At 46.6% G+C, this 18,128-nt stretch overlaps 1 protein-coding gene across 1 annotated transcript in view, besides 1 other annotated feature; it reads left to right on the top strand.

The window, feature by feature from the left end:
- The window catches only part of LOC112267968 (uncharacterized), a 59,629-nt gene that overhangs the window by 15,787 nt on the left and 25,714 nt on the right, over window positions 1-18,128 (top strand). Inside the window, exons 2-3 of the mRNA XM_047419645.1 lie at window positions 416-498; window positions 9,821-9,991. Coding sequence (XP_047275601.1) covers window positions 416-498; window positions 9,821-9,991 — 254 coding nt within the window. The remainder of the gene's footprint in view (window positions 1-415; window positions 499-9,820; window positions 9,992-18,128) is intronic.
- Window positions 10,888-11,017: an enhancer, noted in NCBI's record as "active region_25385". NCBI's record gives its function as "activates an Ori minimal core promoter by ATAC-STARR-seq in GM12878 lymphoblastoid cells {active_cell/tissue: GM12878}" and the evidence as "EXISTENCE:reporter gene assay evidence [ECO:0000049][PMID:35858748]".

Here is an 18,128-nt window from a genome sequence, read left to right as displayed (position 1 = left end):
GTCCCTGGTGCTTCCTCGGCCAGTGTGAGTACAATGATTTGCACAACTACTGCTTTCACTTAATGCAAAAATGGACTGATGTTTTAAGTTGAATCCAGTAGTTCAACCACTGGAGCTTCAGAAGGGTCCACAGCCCGCCCCTTTCTGCCGGAACTGTCTTATGTTATCATCTAATCAGGCATCCCTGGCCATTCACCAATGGTCCGAGAGTTGGGACCTCGTTGATAAATGTATTTATTCCGAATTTAGGTGTAAGTCCCTTCCAGGCAGTGCAGCAGAGCAGAGGATAACAAGGAGACAATTTGGTTTTCTCCATTTTGTTTAGGAACACACTTTTTACATGAGTGCCTTAAGTGCAGCTGCCGTTTCCTACCAAGCAAGACAATGATCAGCCCTGCTTTGTTTGTTCCCACAGCTCAGGAACCTGGCTCAGAGCTGCTCCTCAGTGCCAGCTGCTGGACTGGACAAGATTTTAGGCAAGGCACGGCCACACACCAGGTAGGTGAAAACCCACCACACTGAACCGCTGCCAGGGAGCCCATGAAGGCACTGAGCCTCTCCATGAACAGAGGCCTAACCTCAGCCTGCCTGGCTGATCTCATCTCTAGGGTGCTTTACATGACAGCAGCAGAGTGTGAGCCTGCTGCCCGGAGGAACTATGCAGGTGTAAGCAGCACCCAGCTTGTCCTCAGACACGTGGCAGCCCAGGGGCAAAACATCAGGTTGTTCACGAATCACCAAGGTATTTTTGGCATCATGTTATTATACTCCAAAAACAACCAAAGAGCAGGGGAAAAAAAAAACCCAATTCACAAAAGTAAAATGCAGTCCATCTAAGAGGGTTGTTTAAGTTTAAAGTTTTCTTTACTGAATTGGCCCAAACTGGATAAGCATTAATATCCCTCCCTAAGGCTCCCAGCCAGGCGGGACCAGGCAGAACAAAAGCTTGAGCCAGTTACTGGGCATTTGCCACAGGCCAGACGCCCTCACCATAGCCACATTGCATCATTCATCAAACCCACCTCAGGAAGTGGATGCGGTGATTCTCCCCGGGACACTCTGGGAGGGGGTAGCACAGATAATGAGAAAGACTAGGGATCCCAGGTCAGATATGGGGAATGCCAGAGCTTCGGGTCTTTGCATGAGTAAGGTTAGATAAGCCCGAAAGAGCACAACCAAGGGTCCGCAGAGAGCAGCAAATCAGAGACCACGCCAGGCAGTGGACAGCCCGTGGTCAAGCCCAAAGTGACCTCCAGGAAAGGAGGACATCCCTGTAATGACACTGCAGCCTCTCCCTTGCCCCAGCCCCACTCCCAGGGCACAATTCCAGGCTGCCTGGGGCACCAGAGCTCACATCCTCCCAGGCATGGGCAGGAGGGTCACCGACTGGCGCTGGAGGCTCCGCTGCTGCGGCAGAACCACGGGCTCCCTGCAGAGGGAGCCCTGACCCCTTCCGAGGCAGCAAAAACTAGCCGTGCTCAGACCTCCCTCCTGAGTGAAAGGTTCTGCAGTGTACACAGGTTGTTTGTGCTGGAAGCATTTCCACGGAGCCACAGCAGTGGATAGCTGACACGAAATTCCCTGGCTGTCTCCCATCGTTTGAGAATTAAGGTTATATAGCTGTTATCCGCACATCCTATCAGCCTTTGGGTTACAGGCTGTGATGTTGACTTTTGTGAAAGAAGCAGGGAGCGATGGGACAGGGAGAAAGGCCCGAGGGGGCCATTTGCAGGCACAGCCCTGTCCTCACCCGAGCCACCGCCACCCCAGAGTGGGGTAGCTGATACCCGGCAGGTTGCTGTTGGTGACTGAGCAGGTGTGGGGGGATCCAGATCCAGAAGAGAGGAAGGCGGGGAAGAAAGAGGAGTGCAGAGAGGGCTGAGCCTGCAGCGCTGTGCACTTAGGGGGCTTGCTTGAAGCCTCATTATCTGGGACATAACTGCAGTCAGACGGACTAGGGGGCTCCAGGAGGCTGATGATGTGAAAGGTGATGACAGATTTTCATTTTCCATTAGGAGATGAAAACTGCTTTCCCAAGCTCTCCAAACAGAAGAGAGACTTGGCTGAAGGTCTAAGTAATGCCTGAGGCCTCCAGGAGGGCCAGCGTGTCTGGTCGGGACCACGGTGCACCACGCAGTATTTGTTCCCCGGGGAAGCCACTCCTCTGCTACTGCACTCTGGAAGAGACTCCTGGGTCTCACAAGGGGGTGGAGGTGTCCGCAGAGGCCCTTTAAGGGGTGTGGTTAGAGAAGGCTTAAATTTGCTATCTGGGAACCTCATATCTGAATCTACACACCATGATTTTAACAATCATTTTTAGCGGTTATAACTTCAAATAAAGATTTCAAATTCTATATGGACGCTAATGATCTATTCCAAGCTAATATCCACAGTAGAGGAGAATGAGAAAATCTTGAATGGGAATCCAGTTTGTAGAAGAGTCAAATGATTTTGAGTCTCGAGTAAAGACGCTGCCGTGGTACACAGTATTCAAGACAGCACGTGAAATTAAAATGTGTCTAACTTCCGCTCCCGTCGATGAATTTCTGAACTTTTCCCCCGTGTTAGGGCCCAGGTCTCTCCAGTGCTTTCCAGGGCTACTATCTATAATTGGCAAATGATCCCCTCATACTATCCAATTGTTCTCCTTCCGAAGACCTACAAAAAGAAACCTGATTATCTTGCCAACTGCTCTGTGTTACCAGATGTTTAGTTTGAGAATATGAAGTGTACCTGTGAGAGTATCCAAGCGCAAAACACTTCTGGCCCAAGCTGGCTAGTCTGATCATGAGACCAAGCCTCAAAACCTTGAATTTTATATGAGCTTGACCCAATCAAATAGAACTTAAACATCTCCTGGAAGAAGGGGCAATGTCTTCATCCTCTTTGAGACTTCCTCCTACTCATGGGATTCCGTAGAGTGCTTTGCATACAGCAAGTGCTGAATAATTGAATTTTCTGCCCTGTGGTCACAGAGACCACACCATCCAAATGCCAGTGATAATCTTCAGTGACATTTACAGAGTCTATGTGAATCAGACTAACCACATCTTTAAATCCTGACCCAGTTTCACTCAGATTTGGCTGGACAACTGCCCTTAATAGCCCAGCTTCCAGACTGTCAATCACACAGCGATCTCCTGGACACCTTCTGTGAACCTGGCACAGAGATCAATGCTGGGGATGGGAAAATGAATACAGCAAGGTGTTCCAACATAGTGACAGGTGAGCAAGTCACTACAGGACAGGGAGACAGGTGTTAGAGACAGAGAGGGTGCTGGGCAGGCTTAGAGGAGGGTACCCAGGTCTTCCCAGGGGTCTAAGGAGGCACCACCCAGAGGTGAGATTTGAGTCGGATTCTGGTAAACATGGGAGTTTGCTGTGCCAGGCGAGGACCCTTCCAAGCAGAGAATAGCAGCGTTCTGAATGCCAGGGCGAGTTTGAAGGGTGCAGGGGACGCCATTTGAATTTGTGAGGCTACCTTGAAAACAAACAGGATAATAAGGGACAACTCCACTTCAGATGTCATATGTTATTCCTTTATTCATGGAATTCCTACTAAAGAGTGAGTCCTCAATATTTGGGAGGACATGAATGAAGCCCTTTGAGAATCTGCTTCTTTAAAAAAAAAAAAAAACAATCTCTGCCCCTCTCCCCCTTGAAGCAATCCTCAGACTCCTGTTTAAGAAATCCTGGTGTAGACTATAAAGTGCTTCCACCACGCTGCACCCTCAGCTACACTTGCAGATGCACTGGGGCTCTATTTCCCTGCCTCTGCCTCCACTGCCTGGTTTCCCTTCAGAACCACCCAAGTCCTTTTTCCCAAGAGATGTGTTGAGACGTGAAATTTCCCAGCGCTGAGCCTACCACCACACTCGGAGACTGGAACCCGCCACACGCCTGGCCCTGCAGACGAGCTAACACATGGGCAGCATGGTCCTGCCTCCTGCCCTGCTGCGGCGTTTCTCTTGAGCCCAGAGGCACCGCCTTAGCTCACTGTGTCCACAAACAGAACATTCTGGCATGGCCTGAATACAACTGACTCTTTAGATGACGGTCTCTGATGAGATCAACCAAATCAACAAATGTAATGAAAAGATAAGAATTGTTGATGTGCACAACAGGGCAAACTGAGAATCTGGGGCCTGATTTATGTCCTTCTGCTGCCAGTGATTCCTTCAGTTTGCCCCTTCTTTCTCTGAGCTTCTGGTCCCCCTTCTGTACGCAGGGGGTGAGGATTCCTGCCCTATTCATGAGGTAGACGAGAATTAAAATCAAGTGAGATGATGAGGGGGAAAGTGCTCTGAACTCTAAACCTTCTAAAATACCAAATATTATTATTATTAAAGAAATTATTGGGAAACTAATGATAGAATCACAGAGGGAAAATGGCATTTTACTACCACTCAAGAGCAAAATCTCAATAGAAAAACCAAAACAGCCAGCCAGTAGACAGGGAATACATAGCATCTGGCATTTGTTATAAGGTATTGTAAATATTTTTTACTTTTATGTGTTTATTATACAGTTTCAGAAAGGAAAAGGAAAGAAAAGGACCCAAGAACTCTCTGCTTTGTTGGATCAAGTGCAGGTTCTTCTAGAACACCGGCGGGTACAGAGTCAGGGCTCAGCAATGTCCGCTCTTATCGCGAAAGAGCCTGCTGACCTTGGAAAGACGCTGCTAAGACAAAGAGGCTGCCTAGGAAGGGGCCAGCCAGGCTGCTGTGGAACAGCTGGGCAGGGCCCTCAAGGGGGAGTCATGTCCCCACCACTCCCCCAACCCCCATTTGCTCCACCAGCCACTGCTTTTTCTAACACTCCACAACTTTGCCATCTGACTTCAGACTGGCTGTGGTGAGGGCTAGGATAGGTTGAGAGAAATGCAGGTGACCTCAGTGGAAAGCAAATCAAGCAAGGCACATAAAAGATCAAAGGTCGTTCAACAGATCTGTGAAGGTTTCATCCATTCACTGTGGTTCTATTTCCCTGCCTCTGCCTCCACTGCCTGGTTTCCCTTCGGAACCACCCAAGTCCTTTTTCCATAGTGCCTGCACGTCCCACTTCCAGGCACTATGCTGGGGCTGTGGAAATGAAAGAGACCACGTGCGTTACAACAGACGAGACAGGCAGATGAGCCAGACAAGTAGGTGACACAGGTTTGCAGGGAGACACCCACTCTAGGCTGCAAGTGGTCCCTGGGTTGAAATGCGGAGAGGGCCTCTTGGCAAGCAGCAGAGAGGGGCCAGGGTTAGCACACAGAGCCTGGCGAGATCGATCAAAGGGACTGAGGAGTCCTGTGGGCTCTGATGCCTGGGAGTGATTGAGGCATACATATTTGAGAGAATTCCTCGGGCAGTGACAGGGAGGATGGAGGGGGACAGAGAGTTGAGGGAATTAAGGTCTGATGCAAGGAAAATAGCAGAAACTATTGAAGTAATGCAGGCAACATGCCACAGGAGTGTGGAACGTCAGTGGATGAGAAAAAAGAAGTAAATGAAAAATATCCAGAAGGCAACATTTGATCATGTGGAGAAGGGAAAGTCCCTGGAGCCAGACAGGCCTGACTCCAGCTCGCAGCCCTGCCACTTGCCAGCTGAGAGGTCTGCAGATTGCTTAACATCACGGAGCCTCAGTTACTTCATCTATAAAATGGCCCTAATTGTATAGGAGTGTTGTAAGGATTGAGAAAGAATGAGGGTAAAGAGATTAGCCTGGCACATGGCAGGCAGTCAGTGTTAGCCCTGTTGAAGAAAATGGTAATTCATGCCATAGGTTGAGGACCAAGTTTGATTTTTTTTTTTTTTTTTTTTTTTTTTTTAGACAGAGTCTTACTCTGTCACCCAGGCTGGAGTGCAGTGGTGCTATCATAGCTCATTGAAGCCTCAAACTCCTGAGGGAAGTCCTCTCTCCTCAGTCTGCCAAGCAGTTAGGACTAAAGGCCCAGCTAATTTAAACTTTTTTTTTTTTTTTGAGACAGGGTCTTACTTTGTTGCCCAGGCTGGTCTCAAACTCCTGGCCTCAGGTGATCCTCCCACTTCGGCCTCCCAAAGTGCTGGGATTACAGGTGTAAGCCACCACACCTGGCTTGAAAATGAAACCTGATTATCTTGCCAATCAAAACCTGATTATCTTGCCAGAAATGAGATGAGATGCTGTGGGTGCTTAGCAATGGATGACAGGCTTGTACCTATACCTCAGGGCAACTGCATCCACACAACGTGACTTTGGAGAGCTGTATGCGCCATGACTTTATGCAGGGGGCCTCCAATGCAGGTTAATCCAGGCTGTGTGGAATGGTGGACCCACAGCTGTGTTGCCTCGAAACCCCAGATGCCAGGAAATGATGGTTTCCAGGTCAGGCTTCTTATGGCTGAAATCCCTTTAACTGCACTTTTTTCTTTTGCAAAGTCACCAGTAATTCAAAGAGCCCCCAAATACTGAGCCACTCTCCATACCTTTATGCCAAATCCACAGTCAAATACTGGGAGTTCAGATCGGAGGAGCACACACTTGGGCAAACTGACCTAAGAGGCCTCGCCACCCACTCCCAGGGTGCACCTGTGACCACCCTTCCTTCTCCCACTTCCAGCAGGCTCCTGAAGTCTATTCAGGCTGGGAGCTGATGCTGAACTCAGCAGGGCCCCAGTTGACTAGATCATTTCCCATGTGAAGTTCTGGGGAGAGAAGATCAGGTCTCCATGGAGCAGGGCCCGGCGGCACTTTCGCTGTGCGAAGCCACCAGCAGGCCCCACTCCGCTGGAAATTCATCAGTGCATGGAAAGGCAAAGGGCACAGTTGTTTCCGTTCACCAGGTATTCGCCACGTCACTTGTTTCCTATTTCAGTGCATTAAAAAAATTTCCCCTCCGGTGAGAGTGCTGAGGCGCCTTTGTTGTGAAATATGGTTAACACGAGTGCTTTTTTTTAATGACATCACCAAATTAGGTCTCTGTGTGTGTCAGAAAAATTAACCCCGGCAAGTGTACAGTTCTCCTGGGATCACAAGGAAGTGCAAAATAGGGCTGGAGGGCGGGGGACTGGCCAGGGAGCATGAGGAGGAACAGCGATCAAAGGAGAGGGGAAAGAAAACAAAAATCGTGGGCAGACCAAGACTGACATGCGGACAGGTGCCTGGCAAGCAGAATACTCAGGAAAGAAACTTGACCTACTTCACTTGACTGGATGTGGATTATCTACACGTGCATGCTTTTTCAAGCTCAAATGAATAATTATCTGACAAATACAGATCTGTTCCTCTCAATTTGGTTCATAACATCTTATTTTAAATATTCAAATATTTCACCCACATCGCCAGAGCCTCTGTATAGGCCGCATGTTTTCATGTGCTCTAAATCTGCAGATGGTTGGGATGGCTGGGGCGAAAGGTCTGAGCTTTGACCCACATTGTGTTTAAAGAAATGTTTAGGGCCGGGGGCAGTGGCTCACGCCTGTAATCCCAGCACTTTGGGAGGCTGAGGTGGGCAGATCACGAGATCAGGAGATCGAGACCATCCTGGCTAACACGGTGAAACCCGTCTCTACTAAAAAAAAAAATACAAAAAGTTAGCCGGGAGTGGTGGCACATGCCTGTAGTCCCAGCTACTCATGAGGCTGAGGCAGGAGAATTGCCTGAACCCGGGAGGCGGAGGTTGCCGTAAGCCAAGATTGTGCCACTGCACTCCAGCCTGGGTGAGAGAGCGAGACTCCATCTCAAAAAAAAAAAAAGAAAGAAATGTTTAGAATGAATGGACATTTAATAGAATGTCGGCTTACTGGCGTTTTAAATCATTGGCAGTAACACTGGGCCCGCATTCCTATGTGGCCCTCATGGGCTGTCCCTTTGGACCCAGCACAACTTCTACCATTTTCTACGGTCCCACCACTCCCAAGCACTCACTTCAACCATTGACTTTCCCCTCAGGCGTTTGAGGGTGGTCTCTGGGCTAGGCAGTGAAGCAGGCTCTGATGGGTATAGCCGGAGAGACAACGTTTGCTCCATACCTGGGAGTTATATATCCCTCAAATATATGGAAATAGCCAGACATGTTTCCAAATAAATTCAAAGAGAAGCAGAAGCCATTTAAAAACAGAGCAGAGAGTTCTAGTTCCCATGCATTACGGTTTGAGACCCAATTTCTCTATTGTATTCTCTCCCTAAATAGCAAACTAACCACCAGCAAGACTTGAAACACCACCACTTCAGAGCCGCCCAGGCTTTCCTTTGGGCTGTATCATTTATAGACGCCCACCCCCGCTTGATGGAGAGAAAGCTCTGACTTATTCACAAGGCTGTGGGAGGTGTCTGCGGGGTGGAAAGGCCAGAGAGCAGAGTCCCACTCCAGAGCGGGAACCCATCATCAGGGCACGAAATCCAAGACTCATGCCACTTAATTGATTTTTGGAAAACACTGAGTATTGCTTTTTTTTTTTTGAGACAGGATCTCATACGCAGGCTGGATTGCTATGGTGCAATCCCCACTCACTGCAGCCTCAACCCCCTGGGCTCAAGCTATCCTCTCACCTCAGCCTCCTAAGTAGCTGAGACTACAGGCACATGCCACCCAGCTAATCTGTGTATTTTTTTGTAGAGACAAATACACAAATATTTCTTTAAACACAATGTGGGTCAAAGCTCTGACCTCTCGCCCCAGCCATCCCAACCATCTGCAGATTTAGAGCACATGAAAACATGCGGCCTTTACAGAGCCTCTGGCGATGTGGGCGAAATATTTGAACATGGGGATCTCCCCATGTTGCCCATGCTGGTCTCAAACTCCTGGCCTCAAGTGATCCACCTGCCTCGGCCTCCCAAAGTGCTGGGATTACAGGCGTGAGCCACTGCACGCAGCCGAGTATCAAAATGTTTTAATGTTTGCCTTTTAAATAACAGAAACGTATCCCAACTCATCTTTATTCAAATATCACATTTGATTCCCTGGGTAATGGAGATGTGCCTGCGAGAGCTAGTACTGCTGTGTTTAGAATGGAAAGGAGTGGCGGTAAAGCAACTGGAAAAGCAGGCCAAGGGACAGACCCCTCATGGCCTAAATTCACCATCGGCCCCAGACACAGGGTAGAGGACCAGGAGGAGAACATGTTTCAAGGGCAACAGGAGCTAGGTGACTCTAGAATTGTAGGAAGCACAGGGAAAAGATGCTGGAGTCCAGATGAATGAATGATGACCGCTTGAGTCTCACAGGTGATGTTTAATCTGCTCTGCGGCTAACTTACTCTATGGAAGAAAACCATGAATTGAGAGACATTTGTTTAGACTTAGCAGCAGGGAAACCCTGACCTTTTTAACCTTTAGGGAAAACTTCTGCTAATCAAAGGAATACGTCAGAGCTTCCTAAGCCATGTGCCACAAATGAGTTACACCAAAGCCGCGGCATTGACCCTCTCCGTTCTGTGTGTGGGCCAGCCTGGGTGGGCCGGTAGGCCTTTGGCTGCCTCAGTTTCCCTCAGAGTGTGATATAAATGCTATCTTTGCTGTGTGTGCTATGGCATGAAAATATTTGGAAAGTATTGCCTTCGGTTAAAATTCTCACAGAAATCCTTAGCATTGACATTACTAGCAGTGATTAGCTATAACCTGAATCAGGTCCAACAATTTGACTCAATTTGCTGTGCTTTATTGTAAATTCATTTTGTTTAAGTTCAAATTTTAAGAAAAAAAGTCTGCACTTTTTTCCTGCTGATTTCCACTCTGACTAAGCCACACTAGTGGTGACTTGGTGTTTGGAGACATCACAGGCATTGCACGCCAGCTCCCTGGGGAACCCTCTTCCCTCAGGACTGATCCCACTCTCCCCCGCCCTCAGGAAGAGCCTGGCATCCGCAGTGACCCTCGAGCAGCTGTCCCTGCAGCTGGGCCTGCCCCTCAAGCACGCTGAGCCTGTCCTTCACAGCCCCATGGTGCTGACCCAGGGCCCTGAGACCACCAGGAGGCACCTCTTCCTCTTCAGGGACTGGCTGGTCATTGCCAAGCAGAGGTGAGTTGGTGGCAGTCATCGCTTTGCTCTCTCCTAAAACTCAATCTCTTTCCAAGACCCTAGCAACACCCAAGGGCACTGCAAGGGGCCCCAGAGCTTGGGACCCAGCCTGGCCCACGTTACCAGCGCTTCCAGCCTGCACAGGCTTAGGTGGCTCCGTCCTTCTTCCCTGTTCTTTGACAAGCAAAGCACCCAGAGGCTGAATCCCTGGGACAACATCACACAGGTAGTGGGTAGAAAACTAGGACAAGAAAAGTAAAGAAAATCCATCATTTAAAAAAAAAAAGCCCTATGCAAACTTGACTTTTTGGTTTGACTAAAAGTGAATAATGTGTTTATAGCAATAAAGTTGAAATCAGAAATTGAGAAAGTCGATAACTGAGTTAACATGACCTGCACCATTTTTCTCTTTGGGAAGCTCTGCAATGAACACCTCCTCAATGTGTGCATTAGAGCAGCCTCTGGACTGGAGCCACAACTCCCAGGACGTGGTATATTTTTCACAAAGAAACCTACAGGCCCAAGGAACATGTGACAACCTTCTAAAAATCCCACACTAGTTTAAAAACAAAAACAAAAAAACGAGGGATAAACACAGACATTAGGCAAATAGAACATATCAGAGAAATAGTGGGGTCCCCTGGGGGAAGTGTTGATGTCCCTGGTCAGAGTCAATATAGGGAGGAAACCCAGAGCCATGGGCCATATTTGGCACTGCTGGTGCTGACTACGGAGGGGCCTGGGGCCCCGGGGTGATGCCTGTAACATTATTTCTGTTTTGTAGGAAGGAAGAGCATTTACATATTTTTATACTTCCATTTAATTTCCCTTGAAAAGCTCTATTTTAAGCTTTGGGGGAAATGTGCCACATTTTAAAGAGCTTCCCACACCTACCCACCGTGATTATTTTTTTAGGTGCTTGGAGATTTCAAAGAATTCAAAACCCATCTGGCATCCTCCCCCCGTATCCCAGCCCGGGATATGTTGTTTTCAGAGACCTGAGAAAGCCCCGGGGAGGCACAAACAGCAGCTGGGGAAATCCTGCCACGGCTCAGAACGCACACTTGTCACAGTCTCCGCGAGCGCCCCAGCTGAGCTCCTGAGCCAGGCTCTGGGCCGCGGGCTGGTACCCAGGGCACTCACAGGTGTGTGGCCTGAACCACCCCTCACTTTGCATTCAGGAACTCCCCGAGTCGCCCCTCTAAACAGACTCAGCATGCTCACCAGCAGTCAGGAGGCAGGGAGTCAGGGGTCACCAGCAGCCAGGAGGACAGGGTCAGTGCGGGGTGTTGGGGAAACGCACAGAGTTGACATGGAAGGTTAGCGTCAAACACACCACCAAGCCCTGGCCACGGCGGCCTGGCTAGAGGCACACACGGGCCACCGCGCCCGGAGATCTCGCTAGGCCTGGCCACGTGGCTTCCCACTGGGCACAGGGCACTAGCTGCGGCAGGGAACTGAACACTCACTGGGGTGCTTAGGTAGGATGACGATCCCAGGAACCCTTCCCCGCCCCTTCCCTAAGAATGAGGGTGGCGGCACTCTCGAAGGAGAGGGATTAGATGTGCACACACCCTATGAACCGCCTTCGCCCTCAAAGAGACCAGCTCCTTCTTGCCTCTGCGCCTCCGCCCGCGCTGCTCCGACCACCTGGGAGGCTGTGCCCCCTCCTCCTGAGCCAGCTCTTCTCCATGCTGGGGGACATGGCCCCGGGAAACTGGATCAAAGCGCAGACTCTGGAACCCAGGCGGGGGTTGAATCTCCTCTCCGCCATTTACCAACTGTGACTAAGCTCTATGTGTCTCTGTCTTCTCGTCTGTAGAGATAAAAATAGCATCTTCCTCACAGGATGGATTGGGGTGGGGATTGAAAGAATAACTACAAGATCAGAGTTTAGAACCGGCTGGCACGTGTGTGCAGTGTTTCCTATGAAGTAGAGTCGCTTTCTGATGTGCTTTCCAAGAAGGGTTGAGGCCCCACCCACTCACAAAAAGAGAAGACCAGAGAAGAGATCTCAGTCTCCTCCACCAGCCTGAAATGAATCTCAATCACTTATTAGCTAATGGCTCCCGGCACACAGAGGGTCTGCTCCACTCAAGCCGTTTTGCCATACTCTGGAGTCAGAGTCCAAGCTCTCAGAGAGTTTATAATGTAGCAGAAAGGTTTAAAATCCACCAGCCTCGACTGGGCGCGGTGGCTCACGCCTGTAATCCCAGCACTTTGGGAGGTAGAGGCGGGCAGATCACCTGAGGTCAGGAGTTCAAGACCAACCTGGCCAACATGGTGAAACCCCATCTCTACTAAAAATACAAAAATTAGCCAGGCGTGTGTGGCGGGCGCCTGTAATCCCAGCTACTCGGGAGGCTGAGGCCGGAGAATGGCTTGAACCCAGGAGGTGGAGGTTCAGCGAGCTGAGATCCAGCCATAGCACTCCAACCTGGGTGACAGAGCGAGACTCCGTCTCAAAAAAAAAATTAATTAATTAATTAATTTTTAAAAAATCTGCCAGCCTTCATGGACAAAGGGAAGGAATCATGATTGACTCTTTACTTTGTGTGGTGTTTTGGTTTTGTTGAATTCAAAGAGTGAGACTCATGTGTTTGGGAAATTTATTTAATTTTTCTATTTTTAGTATAATCTTCAGCTGTAAGTTTTCAAGATATACTTGGTACCATATTCCAATATGTGTAATGAGGAACTATCTTAAAGAAGTTTTACTGTTTTTTATAGGACTAGATACCTGATTTTTAAAGCCTTGTGAATTATGACCACATGGTTGTTTTCAGATCTGTGCAATTAGGTTCAGCGAATAAACGTCCAGGAGAGCCTTGGCAATCCATTGACAAGAACAGCACAGCCAGTGACTCCACAGGCGAAGGGAAGTGTTTTCAGTTGTGTTTTACTATAAACAGTATGACATACAAAGGCATATTTCATAACTTGCCCAAGTGGTTTTGAAATATTCTTTTCCATTGAGGCAATAGCCATTCACAATTGATAATAACCACCCCCAGGACCGGCTACACAATCTGTAAGACAGTGCCCTTTTTTCAAAGAGTAATAGGAATTTTAAGACAGCAGGAGCAGAACGATAAACCAACCACAGGGGTCTCCAAGCCTGGGGACCCAGGGGCTGCACAGGTCACCTGTTCATGGAGCTGGCCCTGGCTGCCCCCTGTGATGGATTTAATATATTTTAAATCATCAGACATATTTAAGGAACATCCAAGCTTAAGACCTTTACTGGATATATTTACCAGCATTTACCTATATTTAATAACATTCACTTTGCTCCACAAAAGATCTTATTTCTTTGCCAAAAATCATGTTTTGGAATAAAATAGACACAACTTCAACATTATTTTTTAAAATAAAAGTTGCAAAAGTACATCTCCCACATCTTCTGTGAATTTAAATAAATCGCTTTATTTGTTTTAGGCTGAAAGTGTAAATTCAGTGTGAATTTCATGCCATGCTCTCATTCACTTGTGGACATAACCTGCCTTTCTCATTTCACAAAGGCTGAACTATCCAACAACCTGATTTTTGAAGAATTTAGGGTAACACTGGCCTCACAGAATAAGTCTGGAAGTAGTCCCTCCTCCTCTGTTTTTCAGAATAGTTTGAGTGGGAATGGTATTAGTTCTTCTTTAAATGTTTGATAGAATTCAGCAGTGAAGCCATCAGGTCCTGGCCTTTTCTTTACTGGCCGACTTTTGATTATGGCCTCCATCTCATTACTTGTTATTGGTCTATTCAGGTTTTGGATTTCTTCCTGGTTCAATCTTGGTAGGTTGTGTGTATCTAGGAATTTGTCCATTTCTTCTAGATTTTCCAATTTATCAACGTATAGTTGCTCATAGTGGCCACTAATGATCCTTTCAATTTCTGCAGTATCAGTTGTAAAGTCTCCTTTTTCATTTCTGATTTTATTTATTTGGATCTTCTCTTTTTTTCTTAGTCTGGCTAAAGTTTGTCAGTTTTGTTTAACTTTTCAAAAAAACCATCTTTTGACTTCATTGATCTTTTGTATTTTTTTCATTTCAATTTCATTTATTTCTGCTGTCAGCTTTATTATTTCTCTTCTTCTACTAATTTTGGGTTCATTTGCTCTTGCTTTTCTAGTTCTTTAAGATGTATCGTTATATTACTTATCTGAGGTTTTTCCTCCTTTTTGATGTAGGCACTTAGTAGCTATAATCTTCCCTGTTAGTACTGCTTTTGCTGTATTCCATAGGTTGTGGTATACTGTCAGGCACTACTCTAGGTACTTGGGATAAAATAGAAAAGGAGTCCTGCTCTTGTGGAACTTATGTGCCAGCCAGGGGAGGTAGAAAATAGATGAGAAACATAGTAAATGATCTAGTCTGTTAGAAGGTGGTACGTGCCATGGGGGGAAAGGAGAGTTGGGCAAGGGGAATTGGCAATTCACAGCAAGAGAGTGGTTAGTTGCAATATTGGAGTGGCCTATGTGGGCCTCATTGCAAAAGGGAGTTTTGAGCAAAAATATGGAGTTGGCCAAGCAGATATCCAGAGGAAGAGCATTCATGGCAGAGGAAACAGCAAGAGCAGAAGGCCAGAGAGTGGAGCGTGCCAAGCACATCGGGGAATTGCAGGCGGGCCTGCAGGGATGGAGGGGAGGGAGCAAGAGCAGGAGGACAGAGGAGGAGGTCAGCAGGTGGCGGGCGGCAGATCAAACAGAGTTTCATGGGCCTTGGCAGGGCTTTGGCTTGTTTTCCTTGCTGAGTGAGATGGAAAGCCATTGAAAAAAATGACAGCAGAGTAATAATATGATCTCACTTCTGTGTTAAAAGATTCGGTCTGGCTGCTTTGCTGAAAATAGTGTAGGGCTCAGGGAGATGCCAGGGGTAGGAAGAAGGGGAAGTGTTAGAAGATGACTGCAGAAAATCCAGGCATGGGATGATGGTGGCTCAGACTGGAGAAACTGCAGCTGAGGCGGTAAGACGGGACTGGATTCTTAGTTCATTTTGAAGGTGAGACCAACCTGCCAAATTGGAGGTGGGGCTTTCTCCCCTTTTGGGAAAAATCAAAGAGGACTGAAATTCCCTGGCCTGGAATTCACATCTTGATGTATTTAGTAGCCAACAGCAGCTCTGTGAAGTTGGTATCACTTCTTCATCGCACCTTGCATGCTTGCCCAAGTCACAGAGTTATAATATAATAAAGGATGAAGTTGCCGTCCACTGAGATGAGAAAGGGTGGAGTGAAGCAGGTTCTGGACCTGTGAGATCAGCAGTTCAGTGTTGGACGTGTGGGCTCGAGATGCTGTTAGACGTCTGAAGGAAAATGGTGGGAGGCAGTTGGATATTGGAGTCGCCCATATTAGTTTTCTATTGCTGGACAAGTTTGCTCCAAGATTTGGCAGCTTACAACAAGGATCATTTATTAACCCACAGTTTCTGTGGGTTGGGTTTCTGAGAGCCATGTAGCTGAGTGGTTCTGGTTTAGAACTGCAGTCAAGGTGTTAGACAGGGCTGCAGTCCTGTCTAACAGGTAGTCTAGTAGGTAATGAGGATGACCTCATTACCTCATTTGAAGGCGAGTTTGAGGAAGGATCAGCTTCCAAGTTCACTCACACAGGTGGTGCAGGTCTTGGAAGATCCACTTCCACGCCCACTTGTGTGGCTGTTAATAAACCTCAGATCCTCATCCTGTGAACCTCACATGGCCCCTGGCTTACCCCAGAATGAGTGAGCCGAAAGAGAATGAGAGAGTACCCAACATAAAAACCACAGTAGTTTTATAACCTCATCTTGGAAATGACATCCCATCATTTCTGCCATCATCTACTCACTAGAACCAGTCAACAAGGGTTGGTGGACATATTTTTTAAAACCATCTCATTGACATACAGATTATATTTAAAGCCCTGAGTGTAATGAGAAATGAAAAGGGGACCAAGGACCATATCTTGGATACTTCAACATTAAAAGGTTGGGGAGAAGAGGAGAAATCATCAAAGGAGGCCAAGAATGAGAGGCTTGCGAGTGGGAGGACAATCATGAGACTGTGGCATTTTGGAACCAAGTAAAGAAAGTGCATCAAGGAGGAGAGAGTGAGCAACTTCAGCAAATGCTGCTGTGGGATAGGGTTAGTCGTTTATACTGGCTTGCCCAGGAAGGTCCCAGCTCACATCTGCTTTCGTCCTGGTGTTATTACTTATCAGGCTCCCTTTTGCTCTCAAAAGGAGGCAGATTTGACAAAGAATCTTATGGACATCCCATACCCAAGTCAAGTAATGTGAGCACTGAGATTTGGGGATTGGATCAGGCATCATAGAGGTCACTGGTGATAATGAGCGATCAGTGTCTAATTGTGTCTTACTGTGGGACATACATCAGCATACCTTTGCATTCAAAATACTTTTCCTACTAAAAGCTATTACAGAGCTAAGTAAACTATTAGCTAATATTAGTGTAAGTATAACATAAAATATCAAATTAAAGTAAGATTTTAAAAAACATAAGCTCAATTCATTCACTAAATTTTAACTCTTCTCAATCACTATTTAATGTAATTACAGATGATGTGAAAGTTTGAGTACATCTAAGTTCATTTTATGGAGCTGAGTGTGGTGGCTCACACCTGCAATCCCAGCACTTTGGGAGGCCAAGGCGGGCAGATCACTTGAGGTCAGGAGTTCGAGACCAGCCTGGCCAACATGGTGAAACCCCATCTCTACTAAAAAATATGAAAATTAGCCAGGCATGGTGGCGCACGCCTGTAATCCCAGCTATTTAGGAGGCTGAGGATTGAACCCGGGAGGCGGAGGTTGCAGTGAGCTGAGATCATGCCACTGCACTCCAGCCAGGACAACAGAGCAATATTTTGTCTCAAAAATAAATAAATAAACAAATTCATTTTATGAGTTACTTATTTTGAAAAAAATTGTCACAATTGCAATGCTATAAAATTGTTTTCAAAACAAAATAATTTGGCAAACAGGCAAAAAGAACATCTTTAATAATGATCCAAGTTGATAAAATAGAAACAGACATAACAAGATTCATATTTATTCCTAATTATTCACGAAACGTTTTACATGTGATAAAATGTATAAAAGCTCTCATCATGGCTTGTTCCCTGGTGTCATAAACATCCAAATGTCCATGGCTGTCCTGAATCTTGTCTTCCCCGCTGGACACTTATGAAGGATGACCTCATTACCACCCATCTCCACTTAGCCTATGCCAAATTTTAATACCAAGGTCGATCATTCCTATGGCCCAGGCACCAGGTTTATCGCTTCATACGTCTTGATGTATTTAGTAGCCAACAGCAGCTCTGTGAAGTTGGTATCTCTTCTTCATCGCACCTTGCATGCCTGCCCAAGTCCCAGAGTTATAATACTCCCTCACGGTATGTTGCCATTTGTCAAGTGACAACTTACTTAGATGAATTATTAAACTTTGTTTAAAAAATTCTGGCTTATTTTTGACATCTTAAGGAAGTAGAAAGCTGATGTTAACTTTCATTTTACATATTATTTAACAATTTTTTTCTTGAGATTGTTGGCTTCATGGAAAAAGTCACCTCCATCCACAGGAACAGTAGATTACATTTAAAATATTTTTTTCTTATTTGTACAAATGTATGGGGTACATGTGAAATTTTGTTACATGTATATAATGTATACTGATCAAGTCAGGGTATTTAGGATATCCATCACCCACGTACAATACATTTTTGTTTAACCATACTCATCCTGCTCTGCTACCAAACAATGAATTTAGGCCCAGTACGGTGGCTCAAGCCTATAATCCCAACACTTTGGGAGGCCAGGGTGGGAGGATTGCTTGTGCCCAGGAGTTTAAGGCCAGCCTAGACAACTCAGCGAGATCCCATCTCTAATTTTTTAAATTATTTTTTACAAATTGAATTTATTTCTATCTAATTGTATGTGTGTTCTTTAACCCAGTTCTCTTCATCCTCACCCCTTTACCCCAATCACCCTTCCCATCTCTGTTCTCTCTTTCCACTTTCTACCACCATGTGATCAGATATTTCAGCTCTCACATCTAAGTGGGAGAACATGAGATATTTGTCTTTTTATGCTTGGCTTATTTCACTTACAATAATGACCTCCAGTTCCAGGTACATTGCTGCAAATGACTTG

Source organism: Homo sapiens, chromosome 6 (assembly GCF_000001405.40).
Source record: "Homo sapiens chromosome 6, GRCh38.p14 Primary Assembly".
Classification (NCBI taxonomy): Eukaryota; Metazoa; Chordata; class Mammalia; order Primates; family Hominidae; genus Homo; species Homo sapiens.
The sequence above is the reverse complement of the archived record's forward strand: the minus strand, read 5'-3'. Positions and strand labels throughout refer to the sequence as shown.